Source organism: Homo sapiens, chromosome 6 (genome assembly GCF_000001405.40).
Source record: "Homo sapiens chromosome 6, GRCh38.p14 Primary Assembly".
NCBI classification, from domain to species: domain Eukaryota; kingdom Metazoa; phylum Chordata; class Mammalia; order Primates; family Hominidae; genus Homo; species Homo sapiens.
This window is the reverse complement of record NC_000006.12, coordinates 148433360-148461141: the sequence shown is the minus strand read 5'-3', so window position 1 is coordinate 148461141 and position 27782 is coordinate 148433360. Positions and strand designations below refer to the sequence as shown.

The window sequence follows — 27782 nt, the reverse complement described above, 5'->3', positions numbered from 1 at the left end:
AAAACAGTACCCCTTAATGGACTGTTAAGAGGATCACATGAGACAGTGAATGTTAAGAGCTTTGCGCAGTGTCTGGCACTGGGGAAGCTCCAAGGAAATGTTACTTCTTGTAACTATTCACAGAGCAGTCCCAAACTGACGAACTTAGTCTTCTCCAGCAGACTCGCTGTTCCCATTCCACCAAGTATTGCCATGAGGTATCTCCTATTCTAGAATCTAAGTTTCCAAATCACTAAGGTTCCTCCTTGTAAATTATTTTATCATTAACCTCTCTCAAATAATTGAGATGGACACAAGGATTTCTCTTCTACTTGCCACTTTATAAAAGCAATTTGTATGTTTTTTAGAATTACAAAAAACAACACACATAATGATTAAGCATGACATCAAAATCTCTTTATCCAATGGATTTTCAGCATATTATTTCCATTATTCTCATGTTATTATATCCTATTGTCTTCCTTAAGCAGTATTTAGCTTATTGTGTATGGCACACTGTCTACTAAATAATTTGTCATTGATGTTGCATAGCTTTTCAATATAGGCACTTACATCAAGGGAAATGGCTTGAGTCCGTCGATTACCTCAATTATCATTAACTCTCCAAAACATTAACTCTCCGAAAGAAATGGCAGGATTTTCAGGTATGAAGTGTGGACGTTGACTCTAAACAGTAATACCATCTAATCTTTAATTCTGGTTCAAAGAGGACTTTTTGCCCCATAATCCAAATTCTCACACTTGGAGGTGCTAGATGGACACTGAAAGATCTAAATTCTCCAACTGTGAGTTGTAGAATGTTTAATTTTTCTACCCCACCCTCTTTGTATATCTTTGATTTACAACTGCCATCAGAACCACTTTAAGTCAGCCTATTCCTTCTATATAAGATGTCTCAAAAGGGCATCTTGCTCAGAAAAATAAGGAGAAAGATGCAGCTAATTTAGACATGCAGGGTTAGTTCTATTGACAATCACCTTTGTTATCCTTCAATCCCCTGCTAATTGCATTAGACATATGGAGGTTGTAGGTAACTAAACATTATCTTTCCTGCTGCAAATCAAGCCTGCCTCCTTTTGTTCTGTCTGTGGTAGAGATCATGAGCAGCTGACTGGTACCTCCATGTGAAGGATGTCTCAAATGCTGTCATAAGGCCACTACCCAGGAAGTGGCACCACACAATGAATGGCTCAGAATGTGGGTTCAGGAGTCCAAGTGCCAGTATTCAAAGCCAAGCTCTACCTGCTACTGACTCTGGGCACATTACTTAGTCCCACTGATTCCCAGTTTCCTGCTATGCAAAACAGAGACAAAATGTTACCGATCACATAGAATTTTTAGAGTTTTCTGTTGTGACTTTTACTTTACTTACTACATGCCTGCACATGCTAAGCACTAAAAAAATTAAATAAAATAAGCTAGCTATTATTAGCGGCCTTTTTTTTCAACCACCCTACCTATGAACCAAGTCATCCTCAGTCCTTCTTCAAATATACTTCCATTTCTTAACTTGTAAGGGGCTGGTTCTCTGGCACCTCGGGAATGGCCAAAAGGCTTTCCAGGCCAAGGACAGATCCCACTCCTGTTGACTCTAAAAATCCCTACAAAGGTGCAGTGAAAGAGATTTGTGTCCTTTCATTCACCAACTGGTGACTTGTACCGAAAGTTAATGATGTGGGTCACTGGCAGAAACTTAAAGAGTTTCACATCTGAAAAGCAGCCAAATGCCATCTCTCCACAGGGGAGGCCCATGGTCTGGTTGTGTCTGGGCCACGGCCTCACTAAGGCCAGGACTATCCAAGTGCAGGAGCGATGTGGGCTTGAAGGAGGGAGAATCAGATCTGGGATGGGATTCAGTCATCCTCTGAGGTTTCCAAAAACCCCTCAGTGGGTCTTCTCTTTTCCATCTGGGCCATATTTTTCTTCATTTGTGGCTTCATGGGTCTGAACTGCATAAGAAGTTGAGATAAAATTGCTCCATGAATGCCAGCTTTGATACTAACAACACTATTGACAGTAACAGCACCTATTCCAGCACTGTGAAGTTATAAATGCCTTCTCAATTCCTTCAAAGTTAATAACTAATGTTCAGAATATCCCCGTGACATATGCTAGAGGGTGTGTGTGTGTGTGTGTGTGTGTGTGTGTGTGTGTGTGTATACTTTTTTTTTTTTTGAGACAGGTTCTTGCTCTATCACCCAGGCTAGAATACAGTGGCACAATCATGGCTCACTGCAGCCTCTACCTCTTGGAGTCGAGCAATCTTCCTGCTTTGGCCTTCCACGTAGCTGGGACTCGAGTCGCATGCCATCATGCCCGACTAATCTTTTGATTTTTTGTTTTTTGTACAGACATCTCATTATGTAGCCCAGGCTGGTCTTGTCCTGGCCTCAAGCAATTCTCCCACCTTGGCCTCCCTAAGTGCTGGGATTACAGGTGTGAGCCCCCATGCCTCAGCCCACATAGTATTTTTTATAATGAGAGGTCATATAAAAAGGAATCAGCAACTGACCAGTTTCATATACAATCAATGATTTATTGTTTGCTTGGTATAGATAATAAAGCTCTATGCCACTGGATGAGTAAACTGCACACGACATGGCGCATACCTTCCAGGAGTTTACAAAACTCAAGAAGATCTTACTGTAACATAAAAATAGTCAAGCTAGTTGCCTCCCATGTCAATATCCAGTTCATTTTCTTTCTTACTTACAGAGTCCCGAGTTTGTTTGGGGTAGCAGTACACCTTGTTAAAAACTCACTTCCCCAGACTCCCTTGAAGTTAGTTGAGGCCAAGTGTCAGTGTCTGGCAGAGAAGAAATACTAGAACTTTATCGTGAGATGTTTCTAAGAAAGCTAGTGTTTCTATGACAAAAAGGATTTACTCCATCTACATGCCTTTTGCCCGGCTCTTCCCATTATCCCTCCTGGAACAGGCATCATTTTATCATAAGGAAGAAAGTTCCATACTAAGGATGGTAGAGTAGGAGAGGGAATAATTCCCTGAGCAGCTGCTCAAGCCTTGGAAAGCCCAACTCCAGACTACCTGCTATATGAGAAGATGTCCCCATTGTCTAAACACTGAAGTCACATGTCAGTTACATGCAGGTGAATATAATCATAACAGTTTGATATCATTTGGCTCTGTGTCGCCAACAGGGGTGAGACCTGGTTGGAGGTGATTTAATCATGGGGGCGGTTACCCTCATGCTGTTCTCGCGATAGTGAGTGAGTTCTCATGAGAGCTGATGGTTTTATAAGGGCTTCCCCCTTTGCTGGCACACATTCTTCTCCTTCTTGTCATCATGTGAAGAAGGATGTGTTTGTTTCCTCTTCTACCATGATTGCAAGTTTCCTGAGGTCTCCCCAGCCCTGTTGAACTGTGAGTCAATTAAACCTCTTTCCTTTATAAATTACTCAGTCTTGGGTATGTCTTTGTTAGTAGCGTGAGGATGGATGAATACACAGTTAGTGGCGAAGAAACGAAAATGACTAACTTCCACAAAGCATTGGTCTGGCTTACCAAAGTAGATTCATAAATCTCATCGTATTTCAGTCTCACAAAAACACTCAAAAAAACTAGCCTTGCTGTATGTATGAAGAGATTCTGGCCTAGAGTCTTTATATAAGTGACTTGTCCAAGGTCACGCAATTAGTCACTGTAAGTCACAGAGCTGGAGATTAAACTCAGCTCTTCCGACACCCAAACCAATGTTTTTCCCACTAAAACTTGAGCTTCATGGAGTCAAGGGGTTCACTAGTCTTACTGATCACAGTATTCACAGTACCTGGTGCAATACTGTGAGCCGAAAGCCAAAACCACATTGTCTCTAATTACCGGTACTGAAAGTGCAATTTAAGTTTGTAATGCTGCCCCTGGAGTCTGCGGCTTCAGGTCAAATTCTGACTTTTGATGATTCTTCAGTAGGCATAAAAATTAAGGTGTAAAAAAAAGGGGCGGGGGAGGGGGCCTTGAAATTCTGCTTTTTATTCTGGTTTTGATCTAACCAGTAAAAACAAATGCCTTCATTTTATGGCCTCACTGTGAATTTTAAATTTTACTTAGGTTTTTTTTTTTTTTGTCTTAAGGAATTACTAAATTATTATCAAAAGCAAAATAAAATAAAACAGGGCTGTAGCACATTGTTTTCACCACAAAAACTAGTTATTATAAAAATGAGCAAAAATTTCTTATGAGCTTAAGCAGCCTACTAAAAAGAAAGTACCTTTGTTTACATTATATTATTATTATTATTATTATTATTATTGTTATGAGACACTCTGGGTCTCACTCTGTTGGCCAGGCTGGAATGAAGTGATGTGATTATAGCTCACTGCAGCCACAACCTCCCCAGGCTCAGGTGATCCTCCCACCTCCTCAGCCCCCAAATAGCTGGGACTACAGGCGCGCACCACCATGTCCAGCTAATTTTTGTTTGTTTTTGTAGAGACAGGATTTCGCCATGTTGCCCAGGCTGGTCTCGAACTCCTGGGCTCAAGCAATCCACCAGCCTCTGCCTCCCAAAGTCCTTGGATTACAGGCATGAGCCACTGCGCCTGCTATTTACATTACTAAATGGCTCCCAAGTATTTTGTAAATGGGGCAAAATTATTCGTTTGCTCTATTTCCTTTATTAAAATTTCCTGCATATGTGTAATAAATATGGGGTCCAAGAGAGGCTTTTCTATGGGGAAATGTGGCTGAGGCTGGCAGGGGCTCCTCTGGAAGGCCCTCTCTGGCCCTCTGTTTGCGTGAGGCAGGCCCAGGTTAAGAGCTGCTGTGAGAATGGGCTGCCACACGCTCGGGCGGTATGGAGATGGGGTCACTGATCCCTATAGAGACGGGCAGGGAGGGCCCCCAGCTTTGAGTATTTTTACCAAATGTGCAAGAACCTAGGGGGAAAGTGAGGCAGCAGGGGGCTGGCCCTTACCAGCCTCGGCCTGGGGTGGGGAAGGGAGTAGGGCAGATGGGGAGGAAAGAGGCTCCATTCAAGAACCTCCTCCTTGCGTTTCCATGGCAATGGCTCCGGAAGCAGGTCAGGACTTTCTCAGTGGAAACAAACAGTGGCTCCCATTCACCATCCCCGAGGCCTGCTGGCCACGCAGGCCGTTGTGCAGCCTGGACACAGAGGACCCTGGAGGGATGTGGGGCCTGGGGCTGCCGCTTTTCTTCTGCCAGCTGCCCTGGGGGCAGCAGGGGAGTCCAGGGGAAGCAGCACTGAAGGCCAAGGCTGGAGGCACTGCGGGCATGGAGGGCCCTTCCTCTCGCTGCCACAGCACAGTGACCAACAACCCCTCCAGACCATGGCTGTGGGAGCCGCCCACCTGCCCTACTTCTCCCAACGGGCAGCATGGACACGCGGCAGCCCTGAATCTGCGTCCAGCCAGCAGCAACCACTTCAGCCTTCCCCTGCCCCACTTCTAATTCATTCACAGACATGGCTAATGGAAAATTTGTATATGTTATAAATACTATGAAAATGGAAACTCAAGTTTTCCTGTCTTCTCAGATCTCATTTTTAAATTCCCAAGCATCTCTGTCACTTCCATGCGCCCTCCACACCTAGACTCACTCCAAGTGGACCCTGTCCTCCCATTCTTAATCACTCCACTCGCTGATTTCACCCTGCCCTCAGATGACTTCACGTCCTTCCCCTTCTGATGTTGTGAGCGCACCAGCACCTGCTGGAAATGATTCAGACACCGGGAAGCTTTCCAAGGTCACCGTGACGATGAAATGACCTCTACCCACATCAGCTGAACAGCCCCCAACTCGACCTGTGCTTACGATGCAGAGTAGAAGCCAAGAGCTTAAAGCTGACAAGACACTGATCTGGGTGGCGATGAATAAAGCCAAGCTGGCTGCTTAAGAGTCTCCTGGGAAACTTCTTAGAAGCCTCCAGGGTTCCACATCTGGATATTGAATGCATTAGGTCTGGGCAAGGCCTGAGGATCTGTCTCTCCAACAAGCTCTCCAAGTAATTGTGATGTGCAGATATGCTTGCAACCACTGGCTTGGCCTAGGAGAGGCCAGGGATCACAGGGCCCATCTTCATTCTCCATTCCCTCCTTGTATCCAACACCTCCAAAATAAAATAAGCAATACTGCAAGTGAGGTGTTCAGAAAAGAATACAGAGTAATACGATAAAACAAGTGGCAAATACTTTTCAAGCATTATCCTGACTTGTAAGGTTTTATTTGGGCAAAGCTTTTAGATGAGAGGTTGGGGACTGCGTTGTCTTGACCACCAAGCATTCCTGACATGAAGGAGACACTCCCTAAAGATTCAACGAAGTAATGAATCAGCCGGTGGATAAAAGAATTTAGAAAGTGGAAGCAAAATAAAGAAAGGCTTGACAAGGCCTTTAGACCTTCCAGATCTCTCCCTCTCTTCACAGTTCTCCCTGCCTCCTGTGATGCACACAGCCCACCTCCTCACGCTGACAGTGGCCCGTCTAAAATACAAAGCCCATCACCAGGAAATGCCTGAGCTGGCTCTGAAAGCCTTCCACCAGCTAGGCCTGGGGCTCCACCACCCATTCCCCCAAGATGCTGTGCTCCTATGGTTTCGCACACCCTTTCTTCCACCAGGAACTTCCTTCCTCTCTGCTTTTGCCTAAGAGAACCCCCAGTCAGCCCTCAGGTTCTCACTCCTATGGGAACCTGTGACGATTTGGAGTCTTGACAATTTAGAACAGCCGGATTACATTTCTCCGAATTCTCTTCCTTGCATAGTTCCAGGTTAGCCTGGACCACAAGAGAGATTTTACATGAAATGCAGAAAGTAGCTCTTTTTTTTCCGTGCTTCACCGTCAGTGTGGGCATGGGGCCCTGCTATAGCTGTTATTGTTGGTCCTCTGGGTCAGGGGCTGGCATGGGGCAGCAGCTGGGCCCACAGCGCTCACATTCCTGCTGGGTCTCCTCCTCAGCTCCTCAGTCCTGGGCCTGTGATGTGTGGAGCTCCTGAGGAAGGACGTCAACAACTCCTGCAGGCCCTCTGCACCCGCGAAGCTGAAGCCTCGCTTGGAGACGGTGACTGATGGCATGGGTGTCAGCCCACCCTGGCAGGGTGGACTTTGTCCTTGCTCTCTTCACTTTGCAGGCATTGTTTTTGCTGAACTGCCTGCCCTGCTGACTTCAGGCTGTACCACCTGACACAGAAGGAACAGCCTCACCTGGCCTGTGCAGCCAGCACGGGCTGTGATGCATGAGGTCAAAAGCATATAACCAAGTCCTTATTCTATCTTAACATTCTACTTCTCAAATAGAACCCTGACTGATGCCAAAATACAGGGCCCTCAGCACCATGCCTATCCCCCAAGCGGGGTTCACCATACCTCCTTCTGCAGTTCCCCTGTCCTGATGGTTTTCGCATTGCATTATAAGCATCTTTCCATGTCTTCAGATTGTAAGAGGACAGCTACCCTACCTATCTTACTCATCTTTCCAGGGCTTACTGCTGGATAAATGCTTATCAAATTAAACTTCCTGAGCTGCCTGGCCCATCACTGGTCTCTCCGAGCACCCCAGTCTTTGATTGTACCTGTAGTTGGGTGGATGAGAAGCAGTCTGCCCCTTGCAGATAAACAGAGCTGGATTCAGAATCCAGCTCTGCCTTACCCAAGGTCTGTGATCTTGCTAAGTCACTGACCTTTCTAAACCTTGGTTTCCTTAACTGTAGAATACCATCTGCATTATAGATTTGGTAGGAGAATTAATAAGACATGCAGGGAGCACGCACTAAGCTGTAGGTGTTGAGTCTCCACATCTTCCTGCAAGTATAGGAATGATATTTATTTACTGATAGCCTCCCACCATCACCCCATCCTTGGCCTAATATTCTGTTTCTTCTTATGCAGGAGAGAGAATAAACAGCAGCCACCTCCGTACATTAAACAATTCCTGGCAGCAGCACCTGTCCCCAGCCATCCCAGCAAGAACACACACAGCCTGCCACCGGCAAAGGACACAGGGCAGACGTGCGGACTCAAGCTGTGTCCGGGTCGGCTGGTGGCTCACTCGCCAGACAGAGGGAAGGGCAACGGAGTTTCCAGTTGGGAACAGCTGAGGAGGAGGATTGTGGACCAGCTGCTCCTACCCCAAGCTCCTGCATTCTGGAATGCTGAGCCCTTCAAATATGCTGTGCAATGGTGCACGCGTGCACACACACGTGTGGACGCAGTTATGCCTGCACAAACGCACGCTTCAGCGCATTGCTACTGCACAGGCTCTATGAAAATAGCTGTTGTTTCCTAGTCGCCCCCATTGCAGGCATCACAAAAGAAACGAAAGGTCATGTGGGAAGGGCATATTTTAGGGGACCATGGCCAGTGATAAGCTCTGTGTGTATGGCACCGTCTAATGAGCCTGAGAAGAGACACCACAGACTCACTGCCCTCACCAGGGGCAGCACTGCACATTACAGAGGGGGTGAGGGGAGGGAACAGCAGAATGTGAGCACCTATCGCGTGCCAGGCAGTGTGCTGGGCATTTCACAGCACCACCCTTGAAAAGAGCTGTTTTTGTGCATGCTTTATTGAATAGAAACCTGAGGCGTAAAGAATTCGAATAACTTGTTCCCAGTCCCACAACTAGCGGAGCGTAAACTCACGCTCAGATTCTGTCCAGCTCCAGAGCCTAGGCCAGCTACAACATAGTGGGATATGCAGAGTCCAAGCTAAATTGATCGGTGCAGGGCATGCTTTAGACTGGAGCAGAAAACAAAAGATGGCCTGAGCTAGAAGGACCCTGGAGACCACCTGACTCACACTCCTCACCATGCCCACGAGGGAGCTGAAGCCCAGAAGATGAAGTGGCAAAGAGGACAAGTCACAGATGGACGAGCCTCCTGGCCAGTGACCTGGCCCTCATGCCCTCAGCCTCTACTGATTAAGGCAGAAGAGTACCTAATATCATAACAACACCTGGCTCTTGGGCCAGTCCATTTATTTTCTGAAAATTAAGTTTGCCATTTTGCCTATGCTTCCCACCCTAGTGTGCCTGAAAAAACAAATAATGATGGCTCCAGTTGCCTTTGGTTATCTTAGGGATGCTCTAACAGCTCATGGGGACCGAGAAGATGCTGGGCACAGAAGGACACATCCACCTCCGTGGGGCAGAAGCGCCCTGTGACCCACTCTGAAGGGCATGCCTCTGTGTGACATCCTCACTCCCATACACACAGGCCCCAGGCGCAGGGCACACACACATGCTCCCTGGGGGAAAACATGGGTGTCTCCACCCTACACCACAGCCCCGCCACAAACAGGATGTGGAGACAGGATGCATTCATGTCAGCACCAGGGGACGTGGCTTGACCTGGATTTCCTAGCAAACTCACAGACCTCATCAGCCCTTTTCACTGAATCTGGTCTACTTCCAAAGGCGGACTGATAATTCCACAGCATGATTTTCTAAATCACAATATTACGTATGAGTTTCTTGGTATTGTACCTTCATCTGAAGGTATTATGTCGTCTGTTGTTTCTTTCTTCCTTTCTTTCTTTTAAGAGACTGGGTCTTGCTGTGTTGCCCAGGCTAGTCCCAAACTCCTGAGCTCAAGCAATCTTCCTGCCTCAGCCTCCCGAGTAGCTAGGACTACAGGCGCATCTCACCGTGCTCAGCAGTTGTTTCTATTTTAGAAGAGGAAAATCTAGGGAGACTTGAACCAGACTATGAAATAGAATCCGGTAAGAAAAGGGGGGCAACCCTTAGAAAAAGATTTGGCAATTTATGGAAGCTACTATGTCAAATGTTTATTTAGAGGTGTCTTTATAATGTTGATATTTACAAGCCGAAAGCACTTTTTATTCACACCGTCAGTCTGGGGAGACACTGACACATGTTGGGTCACGAGTAAGCCCAAGGTAGCTTCTCTGAAATTCCAGTCCTGGGAACAATCCATTTGTAGCCCTATTTCAAATAACTAGGGGCATTCAGTGAATTCAATGCAAGTACTAAATGAGCACTTGCTCTGTGCAAACCATTATTCTGGACACTGAAGAAAATCAGAAGAGTGAGCTCTCAGCCTCAGGGCTCATGACTATGTTGGTTCTTCTGGGATTAGGGAAGTATACAAGTGGCTCAAGCCACAGGCAAAGGCATGAATGTGGGCCAGACAAGATAGATAACAGACAAGATTATCAAGCACTTACTATGCTCTTGATGGCTAAGTGAGGTAAGCACTATAATGATCATCTTCATTTGATAATTGTGGAAACTACAGATAGAAAGGTCAAGTGGCTTGCCCAAGAGTTACAGAGCTGGTAAGGAAGACAACCTGGATTTGAACCCAGAGAGTCTGGTATCAGGTAGGGCATCTTAATTCCAAGGCTATAATGACACTCAGAATGGATTGAGATGTTTGCCTCTAGCTCTGGAAATTTAGGCAAGCTAATGAGTCTCAAATATAATATATACCTCAATGAGTTTATACAAAAAAAAAAAAAAGATAACATATAATAAGAGATTCACACAGTACCCAGTACATAGACATCACCCGAGAAGCCACGTTATGATGATGTTAACAACAATGATGATATGATACGTGTTAAAGTACATTAAGAGACATCAGATCCATGGAAAATGCTACTAGAGTCCAAGGAGAGGAGAGGATACAGACAGTTAAGAGACTGAGAAAGTACTCAGTGAGAAGCAGTCCTTCAAATAGGACTTGAAGGAAGGAAATGCTTCCAATGCATGAAATTCAGACAGCCAAGGGGGCATTTGGGTAATCGTAATATCCAGTTGGGCTGGAATTGGGGTTATATGGAGGTATGAGGTTATTGCTGGGGAGACTGAGCAATAAAGAAGGGCTAGGGATATATGTAGGGGCCACTGATTACCAAGGTGAAAACCTAGACAGGTCCTAATTTATAGATGTCACTGGGGAGAGCTGAGCATCCCCTCAATGAGATGTGGCCTGAGTGTATTTTCGGGAGATAAATCCAAAAGCAATTTCTTGAATGCTCTTTAGTTCACGGAAAGAGCATTAAGGGTCTCACTTGGAACAATAAAGATTAAAAATAAACAGAGAGTGCTATAGTTTGGGTATGGTCTTTCTGTCCCCACTGAAACTCATGATGAAATTTGATTTCCAGTGTGGTGATGTTGGGAGGTGGGGCCTAGCAGGAGGTGTTGGGTCACGGGAGCAGATCCCTCACGAATGGTTTGCTGCCATGCTTGTGGTAGTGAGTGAGTTCTCCCTCTTGAGGGCCTGGATTAATTTCCATGGAAATGGATCAGTTCCTGAGAGAGTGGGCTGTTATAAAGTGAGGTTACTCTCTTGTTTGGTCCTGGCTCTTCACACATATTCACTTCCTCTTTGGCCTTTTTCACCATGTTATCACCCCACAGGACGGCCCTCCCCGGAAGCCAGGGCCATGCTCTTGAACTTCCCAGGCTGCAGAACCCTGAGCTAAATAAACATTTTTCTTTAGAAATTAGCCAGTCTCCGACTGGGCGCAGTGGCTCACACCTGTAATCCCAGCACTTTGGGAGGCCAAGGCGGGTGGATCACCTGAGGTCGGGAGTTCGAGACCAGGCTGACCAACATGGAGAAACCCTGTCTCTGCTAAAAATACAAAATTAGCCGGGCATGGTGGTGCATGCCTGTAATCCCAGCTACTCGGGAGGCTGAGGCAGGAGAATCACTTAAACCCAATGGGTGGAGGTTGCAGTGAGCCGAGATTGCACCATTGCACTCCAGCCTGGGCAACAAGAGCGAAACTACGTCTCAGAAAAAAAAAAAAAGAAAGAAATTAGCCAGTCTCAGCCAGGTACGGTGACTCACACCTGTAATCCTAGCACTTCGGGGGGCTGAGGCAGGTGGATCACTTGAGATCAGGAGTTCATAACAAGCCTGGCCAATATGGTGAAACCCTGTCTCTACTAAAAATACAAAAATTAGTTGGGCGTGGTGGCACATGCCTGTAGTCCCAGCTACTCGAGAGGCTGAGGCAGGAGAATCACTTGAACCCAGAAGGCAGAGGTTGCAGTGAGCCGAGATTTGCACCACTGCACTCCAGCCTGGGTGAGACTCTGTCTCCAAAAAAAAAAAAAAAGAAATGAAATGAAATTAGCCAGTCTCGGGTATTCTATCACAGCAACACAAAATGGACTAAAACAGAGGGAAACAAAGGAAAGACTATAGAAGTTGAAAAACAGGATTTGGCAACTGACAATCAAGGGTCAAGGAAAAAAAGCAGGACAGCATGATGAAAAAGTCTGGGTGAAGGGCAGAAAAGTTTCTCAAGGATAGAGAGAGGGAAGTGTGGACAAAGAGCAGGTAGTTAGAGAAGGGTCAAGAGGAAGTGGTGAATTATGTTATATGAATGGGCAGTTTGGGTGGCTGAGATATTAGTGAGCAGGCATTTTTCAGCAAGAGGCTGTAATAGGCAGGCCACCAGATTGCAAAGGTCAGAGCGAGAGAGTTAAATCTACAATGAGTACCTAAAGAGCTCAAAGCCATGGGCGCAGGTAAGAGCCTTGGGAGAGCTCACAGGCTGGGTAAAAAGCCTGGGGTGCACTCACAGGAAGGGGTGGGCAGAGCTGCACAGAGTGCACATAAAGGAGAAGAAACTCGAAACTTGGTGGCAAAGTCGCAGCCACCAAGGGAGATGAGAGAAGTGTGACCCGGGGAAAAGTCAGCAGGACCCAATGCAACAGGGACTCACGTGGGGAGAGGCCTCTGGTTAGGTTCCTATGAAGCCACTGACCTCTGAAATAACATTTCATCAGGGAATGAAGACAGGAGCCAGGCTTCATGGCAAAAGTTTAGCAACTAGGGAAAGAGAGAAAAAGAAACATAGTCTGGAAGAACGGCAAGAAGATTTTTCTAGAGTAAAGAAGACCTAAGCATGTTTGTGCATGCTCACTCACTCAATCGATTTATTCAACATTATGGAATATCTTCTGTGTGCCAGGAGAGAAGCAAAAGATCTAGGGCTCAAGGAGTTCAGGGTGGAAGGTGACAACGCACGCACGCACGCACACACACACATACACACACACACACACACACACACTCTCTCCACTGCAATAGAAGCAGGAGAGTCCAGGGGGTGTAGAGGCCAAGTACCAGGCCACTTCACCTCAAGTCTGTGGATTACGGGAGAATTCTGGGAGGGGCCAACCCCAGAGCTGAGGTTTTAAGATTGAATGGAGCTTGCCCAGGGAAAGGTCGGGGAGTGGGCAGCGGGGGGTAATGGTGAGAGTGGGAGACAGAGTATCCCGCTGAAGGAGCAGCATTTCCAAGGCTCAGCACGCCCTGGGAGAATAGGGCCTGTCTGAGAAACTGCAGCGGCTTTTGCTCTGCCTAGGGAGCACATAGCAAGGGCTAAGGTGGCCAGGTAGGTGGATGGCAGACCACAGAGGAAGAGGAGGACGAGGAGGAGGAGGAGGAAGAGGAGGAGGAGGATGAGGAGGAGGAGAAGGAGGAAGAGGAGAAGAGGAAGAAGAAGAGGAGGAAGAACAAGAGGAAGAAGAGGAGGAAAAGGAGGAGGAGGAGGAGAAGGAAGGGGAGGAGGATGACGACAAGATCAGATCAGTGGTGCAAGCAATCAAGAGAGCAGCAGATGATCCAAAGCAGGGAGTTGGAGGGACTGCAACAGGCATGTGTGTGCTGGGACTTCTTCCCTGCAGTCAGAGGAAAGAGGGTGAAGACAAAGATCTTTGAGAGGGAGAAAAGGAAAGCTGACATTATCAAAAGAGTAATCAGCTTGCCAGATAAAACATACCTGAGAGCGAAGCATTGTCCAAGGAGAGTAAGTGTCCGCAGAGAACATTTATAAACTATATTCGATCCTCTTTATTTCACCACAGAACACTGCTCTATTGGCCTTCTCTACTTTTATTTACCTTCCTTTTCCATCGTGCTATATATTTTTGGACTTTTTCACCATAAAATAGTTCAAGTGTAGCCACAGATAATGAAAAAAAGTGAAACTAAATCAGTGAATGTTCAACTCCAGTGAAAGACTTAGTAGAAAAGAAGTTATAAATATTGGCTTAGGTGAAGTTTTGAGATTTATTTTGGACCTTCCTGCCTCTACAGATAAATAACTGGGACCTAGCTTATATCTGGATGAGGGTAGAATTTGCTCCTATTTTCAAGGGAGCCCTGAAGTGTAGGTTTTACCTGCTGCTGTTTATTTGATGCTAACGAACACGATTTGCCACTAGCCTCTGTATTTGCATAAGCAATGCATTCTAAGGACTTTGGAATTACAGCTCTGTGGTTAGGGTTATGGGTTCTTAACTGGGATCAAATCTGTGTACTGCTTCTTAGTAAGTGTGTGGCCCTGGGCAACTTACCTCTGTCCTTTAGTTTTGCATTTGTAGATGGGAATCATACCATTTGTCATCTCGTAGGATTTTTGTATTAAGTGAGTCAATGTTAAGTGCTTAGCTCAGTTCCTGGCACATAATAAGAACTCAATAAGCATCACCTATTATTACCTGTCTATGCCTTTTCAATTTTTAGTCTATATAAACCACCCCATGAAGATTTCCTCCATAAACATATTACAAAATAGCCAGGTGGCCCTCCCTACAGTTGGCTTCCTTGAATGTAATGACACTAAAGAATCTTGACACACAGCTTGTCAGACATCTAGGTAATTTTCAGATTCCTTTGTTTACATGCATACAAATAAAAGTTAAACTTTTCATAGAAAATACTGCTAGTCTCCTACGCAATGTCTATTCACCCTCTTTCCTTAAGAAAAGAACCCTGGCCAGGCACGGTGGCTCACGCCTGTCATCCCAGCACTTTAGGAGGCCAAGGCGGGCGGATCATGAGGTCAGGAGATCAAGACCATCCTGGCTAACACGGTGAAACCCCGTCTCTACTAAAAATACAAAAAATTAGCTGGGCATGATGGCGGGCACCTGTAGTCCCAGCTACTGGGGAGGCTGAGGCAGGAGAATGGCGTGGACCTGGGAGGCGGAGCTTGCAGTGAGCCAAGATCGCGCCACTGCACTCCAGCCTGGGCGACAGAGTGAGGCTCCGTCTCAAAAAAAAAAAAAAAAAAAAAAAAAAAAAAAAAAAAAAGAACCCTATGTTGTTCAGGATAGCAATGTGCTCCGTTAAAAATGCTCACTTCTCTAAACTCCCTTATAGCTATGGTGGTCAAGTGACCCAATTCTGGGTCCCCTTTCTTTGCTTTATTTTTCTCCATACCATGACTTTAAATATGTAATTTTTGTTCTAGTATATGCCCCTGCCTTCAAACGTAAGCTCGTGACAGTTCTGTCCATCACTATATCCTGGGCCCCCTGAAGGGAGCCTTCTACAACCGGTAGTTGGTCAGCAAACAGCTGCTGCACGAGGAAATGAGTGGCACACACTGGAATGTGGTGGACAGGGTTTCTAGGAAAGCTCTGCAAAGCACAAGGTTTAGCCTTGGGACCTACTGCCTTCTTCCCTCTCTTCGCCCTGCTTTTTCTTCCCACCTAGAAGATGCAGCAGCCACTTTGAGGCTATGACGGGAAAGAAAAAGAAAGAAGAAAAAAGAAAGCAGTCCAGCCATCTGGGTTTCTGAAGGCCGACTTGAGTCATGGAGCCAGCCCTGGACCCATTCATGGAACTCAGATGTGTCTAAGGAATCACTATTTGTCAGGTTTTCTGCGACTCGTAGCTAAACTCATTTGTTGTAGTTATAAAGCTATTTCCCAGCCCTCTCAAGAAAAGCCTTACCCTCTAAATATTCTTAAAAGTGTCTGGTAATAGAAAATTAGTTAATTTCACCTGTTCAGCCAGTTGACACAAATCCGAGATTGAGCAATAAAGCAGGTATGTCAGAGGCATTTGAACCAGAGCGTCTCCACCTTGAACTGGGGCTGGGTAAAATAAGGCTGAGACCTGCTGGGCTGCATTCCCAGAAGGCTAGGCATTCTTAGTGACAGGATGAGACAGGAGGTTGGCAGGACTGGTGTCACAAGATACAGGTCAAAGATCCTGCCGATAAAACAGGATGCAGTAAAGAAGATTGCCAAAACCCACCAAATCCAAGATGGCGATGAAAGTGACCTCTGGTCATCCTCACTGCTCATTATATGTGAATTATAATGCAATAGCACACCAAAAGACACTCCTAGCAGCACCATGACAGTTTACAGGTGCCGTGGCAACATCTGGAAGTTACCCTATGTGGTCTAAAAAGGGAGGGATGCTCAGTTCTGGGAACTGCCTGCCCTTTCCCCAGAAAACTCATAAATAATTCACCCCTTGTTTAGCATATAATCAAAAATCAACTGTAAGTCTATTCAGTCGAGCAGCCCATGCCACTGCTCTGCCTATGGAGTAGCTATTCTTTGGTTTCTTTACTTCTCTGATAAACTTGCTTTCAGTTTACTCTATGGACTTGCCCTGAATTCTTTCTTGCATGAGGTCCAAGAACCCTCTCTTGGGGTCTAGATCAGGACCCCCTTCCAGTAACAGATAGTCTCATCAATAAGCGATGTAGATAGATATAAAGAGAAGAGGCTCAAATGAAATCTCCCTTGGCCTTCTTTATTAAACTTCCAGTGAAAGCATATGGAGAGACCAGATAGTGTAAGAAAATAAGGATGAATGGGGACCCCACCAAACTCATAATGGGGTAGGGAGGGTCTGTTCTTTCTTTCCACACACCTACTTACCTATCACCTACCTATCAACCCACCTCTTGTATATGCAGGTCAAGCACATCTAGAGGTCAGCAGCCCCACTTGGCAGGGGCATCCACAATAGATGCTGAGATGCCAGGTATGTCGGAAATCTCACTGCTTGTCTCTCTCCCTCCCCCTCTTCTGGTCAGAGCTAACTTCCTGTGACTTGAGACTTTAAACCCTGTTAAATGCTAAATACTACTGACAGAAGTGATGTTATTTTTTAGAAACAGACATTTGAAACATAATTAAGGCCAGATACCTCCCTTAGAATAGGTTTCAGCTGGGCAAGGAGGACAGAGGCGTGCACACAGGGGGTCCCTGAGACAAGCTGGGAGACTGGATCTGCGAGGCAGGAGTCGCAGGAGCAGTGCTCAGCTTCCACGCTGCCTCCTTCTTTGCATTTCTGCTTCTAAGGGTGGGCCCCTGCAGGTCTTGCCCACATGTGTTTTCTAAGTTCTCTTGTTTTTGGAATAAAAAGCAGAGAAAACTTCTGCCCACAGAACACCACTCTGACGCAGAATGATATTTTGGTTGGCAGAGACTTTTGCAGACACCAACCAGACACAGCCAACTGGTTCGCCAGGTCACCCTTTGAGGGTCCTGTACTCAACAGCAAGGCTCCCAGCAAGCATTTTGATGTAAGGGAATAGTGAGATTGTCTATTTGCATCTTCAAATACAATGTATAAATTATTCTATAGCGACAATGCATCAAACCTATTCAAATTATAATCTGACTTAGGATTTTCAGGGTGATACATCTTTAAAAGCAAATGAAATTTAAACACAAAACCTCTTGGGAGATTTTATACAAAATAATCATCAATGCAAGAATAAGTATCACCCTTCTGCAACCATCACAGTAACACTGATTCAGGCAAGAATCATGGAAAGAATCTAAAACCAACAGGTAAAAGTTTGATGAGAAACATAATAGTTTCACGGTCTCAGAGGATCACCTCACAATATATGTATATACATACATACATATATATAAAATATATATAAAAATATATAATATGTATTATATATAATATATATATTATATATATATTCACTACAAAGAAGAAATTGTAACTTCTCAGAGAAAACCTGGCAGATACCACCTTAAGTGAATGACCAAAATTAATATCACTAATAATGAAATAAACGGACATCACGGGCCCCCGATATAATGCACTGTGGCGCAAAAAAACACAAAAACAAATAAACCCTAAACAACAAATACTTCATCAAACAACTAGCTTACACTCTGAAAAAGGCTAAGAAACCCTTTCAGATTAAATGTGACAAAAGACGTGACACCAACATGCCGTGAGCCATTTTTTTTTTTTTTTTTTTTTTTCTAAAAAGTGCTGGATTGGAAAAACACTGCTAAAAGAGACATTATTGGGACAATTAGTAAAACAAATACAGCTGGCACGGTGGCTCATCCCTGTAATCCCAGCACTTTGGGAGGCTGAGGCGGGCAGATCATTTGAGGTCAGGAGTTCGAGAACAGTCTGCCCAACATGGTGAAACCCTGTCCCTACTAAAATACAAAAAATAGTAGCCGGGTATGGTGGCGGGTGCCTGTAATCTCAGCTACTCAAGAGGCTAAGGCAGGAGAATAGCTTGAACCCAAGAGGTGGAGGTTGCAGTGAGCCGAGATGACGCCACTGCACTCCAGCCTGGGCGACAGAGCGATACTCCCTCTCAAAAATAAATAAATAAATAAAAAAGAAAAGAAAAGAAAAAGAAAAACTTGAATAGAAACTATGTATTAGAAAAAGTTATTAAGTTTCCTGTATTTGGTCATTATACTATATTATTCTGTAACAGAATGTCATTGTCCTTAGGAAATATTTGCTTAAGCATTTAGGGGTGACAATCATGATGTCTACCATTTATTCTCAAACAGGCCAGCAGTAATAATAATTAATGGTGGTGTATGTGGGGGGCAGGGGGTGTGTGAGAGAGAGAGAGAGAAAGCTCAGGAGTGTGCAAATGTCAACAACTGGTGGCCCACGTGAAGATTACATGAACATTCACTGCACAATTCTCAATCCTTGAAACTTTACTGTAACTTTAAATTTATTTTAATATTTTTTTCTTTTGAGATGGGGTCTTGTTCTTTCACCCAAGCATGATCACAACTCACTGCAGCCTTAACTTCCTGGGCTCAGGGGACCCACCTGCCTCAGCCTCACGAGTAGCTGGGACTACAGGTGGGCACCACCACACCTGGCTAATTTTGGGGGGGCTGGGGGCGGGGGGCTGGTGCTGGATCAGACAGGGTCTTACTATGTTGCCCAGGCTGATCTCAAACTCCTTGCCTCAAGTGATCCTCCCACCTCAGCCTCCCAAAGTGCTGGAATTACAGGCCTGAGCCACTGCACCCAGCCATAAAAGTTTTCAAAAGAAAGTGTTTTTAAGTTAAAAGCAAAGGATAGCATAGTTTTCAAAAGCCATTAACAGAGAAATAAAGGACAAAATGTTTTTAAACTTTCAAATTGTTTAGAAACACATTAAGTTTGAACCACTTAAAATTACAGAGGCAAAATGACAATATTACAAATGGAGACAGTGGGCGTGTGTTTAAAATTTTTTGTTAACCTCAGAGGAGGCCATCAGTCTCTCTCAGCCACAAGAGCCATGCCACATTTTACTAAGTAAAGGATATAAACACGGAAAGAATGACTCTCCACAATTGAGGGGAAGAAGTACTACCCAGCCTAACTAAGGTTAGTACAAATTTGGTGAGTCACTTCCTCTTAGGAGGAAGAGCAAACATTTCTCGTTTCCTGAAGGATTCAGAGATTCTGAGGGAACACCTGAGCTCTCAGCCTGAATCATGGCACATAATAAACTAGGGCAGGAAAAGCTACAGCCCGTTCACTCGATGCTTCTACCCCACCACAATACCTCCAAGTTCAAAGTCAATGTCAACTTGAGCCTTTTTTGTCTATTTCAGCCTCCATATTACTAGGTTCCTGGGAGGAGGCAAGGCAAGCAAAACAAAAAAAGCTGATGGGGTGTGCACAGTTATCTTCTCAACCTGAGTGGGCAGTGGCCTTGGTTTGCTATGGTACATCACCCACAACGTTCCTCAGACCAGAACAAAACCCACAAAGCCTCTTAAGTTTAGAATTATAGCTTTCTGGCAAAGCAGCCCTCCTCCCAGAACCGCCTGTGCCAGCAGCACACACACGTGGATGGATTAGGCAAAGCTGTGCTCTAAAGCACACACACGCTCTCCCCAACGTGTGCTTTGCATTCCAGAAATACTTGATGCCTAAACCACTTCTGTGCCTCCCTTGGCATGAACGTACAAGTGGCTCCGTGCCAAAGGAAGCGTCTGTTTAGAGATGTGGACTTTCTTTAAAATTTTTTACCATGGAAGATCACAAATAGAACATTCTAGTACAATGATGATGCAATAAAGCAGAAAAAGAAAAGGTTTTAGAAAAAAGATTCTCTTGTTTTTGTCTTATTTATGTTGCCTAAAAGAAATACTGAAAATATAACAAGAAACATAAAATTAGCTTCCATGAGAGCAGAAATTACAGGGTCCAAGTTGGGTCAAGGAAGCAAAAATATTACCTTTAACAGGAAACGCTAGGGATCATTTGCCATTTTTTAACACACACATTCACTGTTGTTTTAAGGTCACCTACCAAAATGAGGTGCAGAAGACGGGTTTTTAATCATTGGTTTATTCTGGAATATAGTATATTTTATATTTGTATCTTGCTTCTTGATAACTTTTATCCTACATTAAAAATTAATGTAAAAGATGAAAATCCATCTTGGTTAATGCACCTATCCTTTCCCTTTCTATTTCCGGAGATTTATTTAGGGTTTATTCACAATAAGTGTAAAATCAGTAACTCTTCACAAAATCCTCAGACATCACCAACTGCATTACAAAACACACTCTTAGCCACCTAGATACACACACATGCATGCAACATGTTAAGGAAAATGACATCGCATAACTCCATAGTACATACGCACATGATCGCCTGTTTGATTTCCGTCAGCATGGACCTAAAAGACACCTTCTTGGAAGGTGGTCCTGGGCAGAGGGAGAAAGACTTACTTTCTTTCCACTTCTGGGGTTGACACGGCGCTACAGAAGCCAAGCGACTCCTACGAGAGAAGATTCGTATAGTCAGTGTGGTCAGAGCAGCAGGCTTCATCTGATTTGTACAGAGTGTCACTTAAAAAAAAAAGGCAGAAGCAAAACTAGATGATTAAAGTCATTGTGCTTACTTCGATCTGGGACCGCAGCTGAAGTGACGTGGGGCTAGCATCGGGTTTCTCCTAAAACAGAACAGATGCCAGTTTAACGGGACTTCCAAACATGTCACACGCGAGAAAGACAAATAGACATGTAAGAAGAGAGGGGAGGATTCGGGAAAGGTTGGGGTATAGAGTGGGAGGAGATGGCAGAGATAAACAGATTTTCTGGGAAAACTAAAATACTTTTAAAATGAGAGCTCTAGCCCCCTAAGATTGAAATATTTTCCAAACTTTGTTGCCAGACTCTGCTGACAATTTTATTTCAGAAGAAAAAAAGCACAATTTCAGTCAAGGGGACTGACAGTTCATGGTGAAATAATTCTGTGGATATACTTAGTTGGTCACTAAGACACTGAATTTACTGCAACCCATTTGAGTTTAGCTGTTTTCCAACGACACTAGACTTCCAATCCAATTTTTTTTTTTTTTGAGACAGAGTCTAGCTCTGTCACCAGGCTGGAGTGCAGTGGCATGACCTCGGCTCACTGCAACCTCCGCCTTCCAGGTTCAAGTGATTCTCCTGCCTCAGCCTCCCAAGTAGCTGGGATTACAGGCATGCGCCACCACGCCCAGCTGATTTTTGCATTTTTAGTAGAGATGGGATTTCACTATGTTGGCCAGGGTGGTCTCGATCTCTTGACCTCATGATCCGCCCCCCTCAGCTTCCCAAAGTGCTGGGATTACAGGCATGAGCCACCGCGCCCAGCCCCAATCCAATTTTAAAGTTCTAAATGTATTCAGAGCACTTAATAGCTTAGGAGAAGTTGTTAATGTCTTTAGGAAGTTGGGAAGCTAACTGAATGTTATCTTGCAGCCTTAAAAATCACTATACTTCCCTAACACAAATGAACTGACCTATCTGGAAATTTAAAAACAAACACTCGCGCGGTATCGAGTTGATAAATGAAATATAAATACTTGATATTAAGAATGCACTGAAATATCATTAAATTGTGAGAGGCAGAAGAATCAAAGAATATTACAGATAAAACCATATGGTGTAACACCCTCATTTCATAGTTCAAGGAGGCTGTATCTCCTTTGAAAGTAAAAGAAAACGAAGAGTATTTAGATAAACAAATTACCTGTGATAAAAATAAATTATGTAAATTATGCATTTTCACATGCATCTAATTGTTCAATTGCCCTTTTCATCATTAACACAATTATAAAACTACACCAATACCGAAAACCTTTTGTTGATGTATAAAAGTAGCAATAAAGTATTAAAATAAGTATAACTCAGAGCAAAGTTATACTTTTAAATAAGGAACAGGAATCCAGCACGAATATAGAGTATCGGAATGAATGCACTTTCATGCAGGATTGTGGGGGAGTGTTCTGGGAATCTGTTGCTCAACAATGTGCATGTGGCTGACAACGCTGCACCGCACACTTGGGTAAACTGTTGGGAGTGTGAATTTTATGTTACGTGGTTTTTTTTTTTGTTTGTTTTGGTTTTTTTTTTTTTTTTTTTTTGCCACAATGAAAAAAAAAGAATGTGCTGGGATGAGTACATCTGAGAATGGGATGACTGTAGACAAGCGGCCAGAAAGAGAAATGGGTTTTAATGGACAAGAATTTAATGAACTGGCAACTCACTCTTCCCCTAATCTCAGGCCCTTGTTATAAACAGTTATCACAGTGGCGTAAAACCTCCATAGAACTCTCATTAACCTCCTCCTGGTTTTCATTGCTGCCGCTGTTCATGACAGACATATTTCTGTACCAAACTTGATACACCATTTCTACCAAACAGTATATGGACAATGTTTTGAGTTATATATTCCAAATGTGAATGGTAGGATGTCAGGCTCAGGTGCAGTTAACAAAGGGGATATATACTTTTGGACATTTCTGGTGCTTACAGACCAATCACAATTTTCCAGGACCTAACCTTTCAGCCTCACATAGAGAAATTTACAAACTTAAATGGCAGGAGGTAAGCAAAAGTATAATTAGCAATTTTTTAATCCCAAATCTTCCTTCCTATTCAGGAGTTGGTACAGAGAACTCAGAGTGATGATGAAACTAAACTGTTAGTTTGTCTGAAATTTTCTCTGAAATTGCTCCTTTAACACCCAATTGCAGCCCATGACCTTCTATAACCATCAGCAAAAGTGACTGGTTCAATTCACCTCCCCTCCTCCATTTTTACCTTTTCTTCAAGCTCTAAGTTTCTACCTCACTAGTAATCATAATAGTCATGCTAGGAAACGATCTTCTTTTATTTATCTGCATTTTTTTGAATAGATTTTATTTGCTAAGTGCATCATTTGCCATGTCATATCACAAACGTAACATATATGGTACATTATGCAAAACGTACCTGCCCCTGCATACAAAGTAGTTGCTTATTAACAACCATATTAAATGTTTGATGATAGGGAAGCAAAATTTTAATCATTTCATCTTAGCATGTTCATTTGCTACTTATAATAGGCATTTGATTCTTTTAGCTATTTAAACAAATTTTTTTTTTTAAAGAAACAGCATCTTGCTATGTTACCCACACTGGAGTGTAGTGGCTATTCATGGGCGTGATCATCACGCAATGCCGTCTTGTGCCCAGAGCTCAAGCCATTCCTCAGCCTCCCAAGTAGCTAGAACTATAGTTCATGACCACGCCCAGCTTGTTTAGCTACTTTTCAGAAAATTGATTGGGGCTATAGTTTGACATATAATGTTAAAATCATGGAGACAGGCAATGTTTTCATGCAGGACGTTTGTTTTATCAAGGGCAGCTTACTGATGTTGAGCAGGAGATCTTGTATAGTGATATTTCTAGTGACTTGTTTTTTTTAAGACCAAGTAAGAGAATAACTTTTTCAGGACGTCTTCTTAATTTTATCCCCCGAGGATAAGAGATTACAGTCATCATTTAGATGCATGTCTTCTAGCAAACACATTCTAAAGTAAAAATATTGCACAACTGAGGAGAAGCTTGTAAAGTCATCCACTAAGTTAAGGACCTATAAATGATTGGAGAAAGAAAAATGGAATAAACTATTGGCAAAATTCCGTTATTATAACACTGATGAGTGTCACATGATGTCAATGACAAAAGAGCAGAAGAGTAATTCCTATAATGTGCCATGTGCCATGCACCTGACTGCTCAGCCATGACCCCTTTATTCAGAGAATAGCTGATGGTTTACACTACAGCTCCCGATCTGGATGTCACAATGTAGACAGAAATAGTAAACATTGTGAACCTCATCAAAACAATCATTGAGTATATGTGTAAATATGTATAACTTTTGGGCATGTTGTACACTGAGAAATAAGAACCTTCTCTCCTCCCCTAACATACACCGACTGTTTCATTTACTACTGCCGTGTAACAAATCATCCCAAATGTAGTGGCATAAACCAACAAGCACCTTATGATGTTCACAGGTTCTGTGAATATGAATTCAGAAAGGCAATAGCAGAAAAGGCTTGCTCTGCTCTACAGTGTTTGGAGCCTCAGCTGGGAACATGCAAAAGCTGGGGATGACTTGATGGGTGGGCTGTAATCACTGGAAAGCTTGCTCACTCAAATGTCTGGAAGCTGATGCTAGGGCTGCACGGGTTGCTGAGGCTTCCTCACAGCAGGATGCTGGGTTGCAAGAGTAAGCATATGGAGAAAGGCAGGCAGCAGCTGTATTGCCCCTTTGGTTTTTTGTTTTTTTTAATTTTTATTTTTATTTTTATTTTTGAGACAAGGTCTCATTCTGTTGCCCAGGCTGGAATTCAGTGGCGAGATCATGGCTCACTGCAGCCTTGACCTTCCAGGCTCAAAGGATCCTTCCACCTCAGCCTCCCAGGTAGCTGGGAGGCACATGCCTCTAGGTGGCACATGCCATCATGCCTGGCTACTTTTTTTGTACTTTGTGTAGAGATGGGGTTTCACCATGTTGCCCAGGCTGGTCTCGAACTCCTGGGCTCAAGCAATCCGCCCACCTTGGCCTCCCAAAGTGCTGAGATTTGTATTGCCTCCTATAACAGCCTCCTATGGTAAGATATCTGCCAGAGTCACAAGCCCTCCCAGGGTTCACGGCCACCTCTCTCAGCTGGGGGAGTGCCAAAGCCACACCGTGAGAGCAACACTGGATGGCAGACATCGCTGTGGCCAGCTTTGGGAATTACAGTCCGCCATGCTGACTGCCAAGGAAATGGGCCTGCTCATGAGTTTTCAAAATGAGGAATGGGGTGCAACCATTTATTCATGACAATATCTGGAAGGATTATCTCGTGGCTTTTACAACATTTACTCAAGTATATCTTGGCAATAGTCAGCCTGAATTATCACTTAAGGTCAAAATATTGCACTGTATTAGGCTGCAATGATCATGTCTCTCATTTCAAACCTATGATTATAGAAAATTTTAAATATACAAAAGTAAAGAGAAGAGGATAATAAACTCCCCAATTCCTACTACCCAGCTCCAACAATCAGCAGTTCAGAGTTGATTTTGTTTCCTCTATACCTTTACTGTTACTTCATGTTCATCTCATTTTACTTTGAAGAAAATCCCAGACATCAAATCATGAAATATCACCATTTCTAAGTTAAGAATTAGCTATCAGAGTTCCTTAACTGTTGCTCAATCTTGAGCACGTGGCTCAACCACCAAGAATTTGACTCCTTCCTGGTACTGGAGGACTTTCTTTGGTCATAAGGAAAAATCGTATTTATGAAATTTAGATACTCCATCTAAATGTTGCAAAGGGACATGAAGAAATGCATTCTGAAGTTGAATGTAACTTTAGAGTTTATTAGAAAAGTATTCACTATTGTTTCCTAAGTGTAAATATACTATCCTTTTTTTTTTTTTTTTTTTGAGTCAGAGTCTGGCTCTGTCTCCCAGGCTGGAGCGCAATGGCACGATCTTCGGCTTACTGCAACCTCCACCTCCCAGGTTCAAGTGATTCTCCTGCCTCAGCCTCTCAAGCAGCTGGGATTACAGGTACCCACCACCACGCCCAGATAATTTTTGTATTTTTAGTAGAGATGGGGTTTCACCATATTGGCCAGGCTGGTCTCTTGGCCAGACTGGTCTCCAACTTCCGACCTCGGGATCCATCCACTTCGGCCTCCCAAAATGCTAGGATTACAGGCATGAGCCACCTCACCTAGCAATGCTTTCAATATTTTTTTCTTATTTCCTCACCCCCTCCAATAGAGACAAGTCTCGTTATGTTGGCCAGGCTGGTCTTGAACTCCTGGCCTCAAGCAATCCTTCCACCTCAGCCTCTAAAAGTGCTGGGATTACAGGCATAAGCCCCTGCACCTGGCTACATCCTTTAAAATTTCTGAATATGATATGCACATAAACTTTGCTTGGAAAAAGCATATTCTACGCAGAATTTAATGAGAAATTACTCCTCAGAATGACCTGGGAGAGCCACACAACACTGGTGGCTGAACTTGAACCTTAAGTGAGGGCATTATAACTTAGTTTGAAATGTTTTAAATACATTAAAAAAAGAAAGTGAATTGTGAATTTTTTCTGTGGCTGGTGAGGTGAGAAGATTTTGAAATTTGACCTATAGATTGAATTGTTCATCATTAAGTCACATATGGATACCTTAGTTAAGAATGACAAATCTCATTAACATTACAAACTCTTAAAGAAACCATCCCAAGTTAAGTGTAACAGTGAAAACTAAACACAAATACAAATATATCCCAACATGAACGCATGCATGTTTGTTCATATATGAATGTGTGCACATAGAGGAAAAAAAACGCTGAGAGTATATCTCACTGAATTTTTTTACAAGCATGTAGTCTTGCATTACTTTTTTCTAAAGATGAAAGATTAGCTTAAAAATACGATCTCCAGGCCGCGCACGGTGGCTCATGCCTGTAATCCCAGCACTTTGGGAGGCTGAGGCAGGCAGATCACGAGGTCAGGAGATTGAGACCACCCTGGCTAACACGGTGAAACCCCATCTCTACTAAAATACAAAAAATTAGCCTGGCGTGGTGGCGGGCGCCTGTAGTCCCAGCTACTCGGGAGGCTGAGGCAGGAGAATGGCATGAACTCAGGAGGCAGAGCTTGCAGTGAGCCAAGATTGCGCCACTGCACTCCAGCCTGGGGGACAGTGCAAGCCTCCGTCTCAAAAAAAAAAAAAAAAAAAAAAAAAAAAAAATCTCCAGTTCCCCTATGTTTTTAAATTATCTACATATGTATGTCTATAAATGCAGAAGAAAATATCTAAAAGAATTCTACACGCCAATGGTTACTTCTCAATTTATAACCTTTTTCAATTACTTTAATATATTTTTAAAACATAATAAAAGATATATATAACAAATTCCTTTTGTAATAAAAAGTATACATATACAAATTATTCATATATTTTTTAAAACTTAATAAAAGTCCCCAAAGTTAACTCTGATAACAATTTAAGAATGACAAATCTCATTAACATTACAAACTCTTAAAGAAACCCTCCCAAGTTAAGTGTAACAATTAAGTCCAACAATTAAGCTAAAAAGCTACCTAAGAAATGTTAAAACAGGCCGGGCATGGTGGCTCACCAGCACTTTGGGAAGCTGAGGCGGGCGGATCACGAGATCAGTAGTTCAAGACCAGCCTGGCCAACATACTGAAACCCTGTCTCTACTGAAAATACAAAAATAAGCCAGGTGTGAAGGCACACACCTGTAGTCCCAGCTACTCAGGACACTGAGGCATGGGAATGGCTTGAACTGGGAGGCAGGGGTTGCAGTGAGCAGAGATCACGCCACTGCACTCCACCCTGGGCGACAAAGAGAGACTCCGTCTCAAAAAAAAAAAAAAAAAAGAAAAAAGAAACAAAAGTATTAATACTTTATTTCTCTAGTTAGGTCA

General features: G+C 43.7%; 1 protein-coding gene across 13 annotated transcripts in view, besides 4 other annotated features; it reads right to left on the bottom strand.

The window, feature by feature from the left end:
* SASH1 (SAM and SH3 domain containing 1) overlaps nucleotides 1-27782 on the bottom strand; it is a 358577-nt gene that overhangs the window by 90903 nt on the left and 239892 nt on the right. For 7 of the 13 annotated variants that reach the window (XM_017010599.2, XM_024446384.2, XM_017010600.2 and 4 more), the window contains exons 3-4: nucleotides 20908-20958; nucleotides 20735-20784 (exon numbers count right to left, since the gene is read on the bottom strand). The exons of 2 other annotated variants lie outside the window; for them this stretch is intronic. In XM_017010599.2, the coding sequence (XP_016866088.1) occupies nucleotides 20735-20784; nucleotides 20908-20958 (101 nt within the window). Of the gene's footprint in view, nucleotides 1-1457; nucleotides 11429-12675; nucleotides 12695-12717; nucleotides 12783-20734; nucleotides 20837-20907; nucleotides 20959-27782 lie in introns of those variants that run through there. 4 more of the 13 variants (NM_001346506.2, XM_017010605.2, XM_047418499.1 and 1 more) reach the window with 4 other exon arrangements.
* Nucleotides 6530-7029: an enhancer, noted in NCBI's record as "H3K4me1 hESC enhancer chr6:148775249-148775748 (GRCh37/hg19 assembly coordinates)". NCBI's record gives its function as "activates a minimal SCP1, AML or CMV promoter by ChIP-STARR-seq in primed H9 embryonic stem cells {active_cell/tissue: H9 hESC(primed)}" and the evidence as "EXISTENCE:reporter gene assay evidence [ECO:0000049][PMID:30033119]".
* Nucleotides 8070-8606: an enhancer, noted in NCBI's record as "H3K4me1 hESC enhancer chr6:148773672-148774208 (GRCh37/hg19 assembly coordinates)". NCBI's record gives its function as "activates a minimal SCP1, AML or CMV promoter by ChIP-STARR-seq in naive H9 embryonic stem cells {active_cell/tissue: H9 hESC(naive)}" and the evidence as "EXISTENCE:reporter gene assay evidence [ECO:0000049][PMID:30033119]".
* Nucleotides 14944-15444: an enhancer, noted in NCBI's record as "H3K4me1 hESC enhancer chr6:148766834-148767334 (GRCh37/hg19 assembly coordinates)". NCBI's record gives its function as "activates a minimal SCP1, AML or CMV promoter by ChIP-STARR-seq in primed H9 embryonic stem cells {active_cell/tissue: H9 hESC(primed)}" and the evidence as "EXISTENCE:reporter gene assay evidence [ECO:0000049][PMID:30033119]".
* Nucleotides 19255-19549: an enhancer, noted in NCBI's record as "tiled region #6687; HepG2 Activating non-DNase unmatched - State 16:ElonW, and K562 Activating DNase unmatched - State 10:DNaseD". NCBI's record gives its function as "activates a minimal TATA promoter and a strong SV40 promoter by Sharpr-MPRA in HepG2 and K562 cells {active_cell/tissue: HepG2 | K562}" and the evidence as "EXISTENCE:reporter gene assay evidence [ECO:0000049][PMID:27701403]".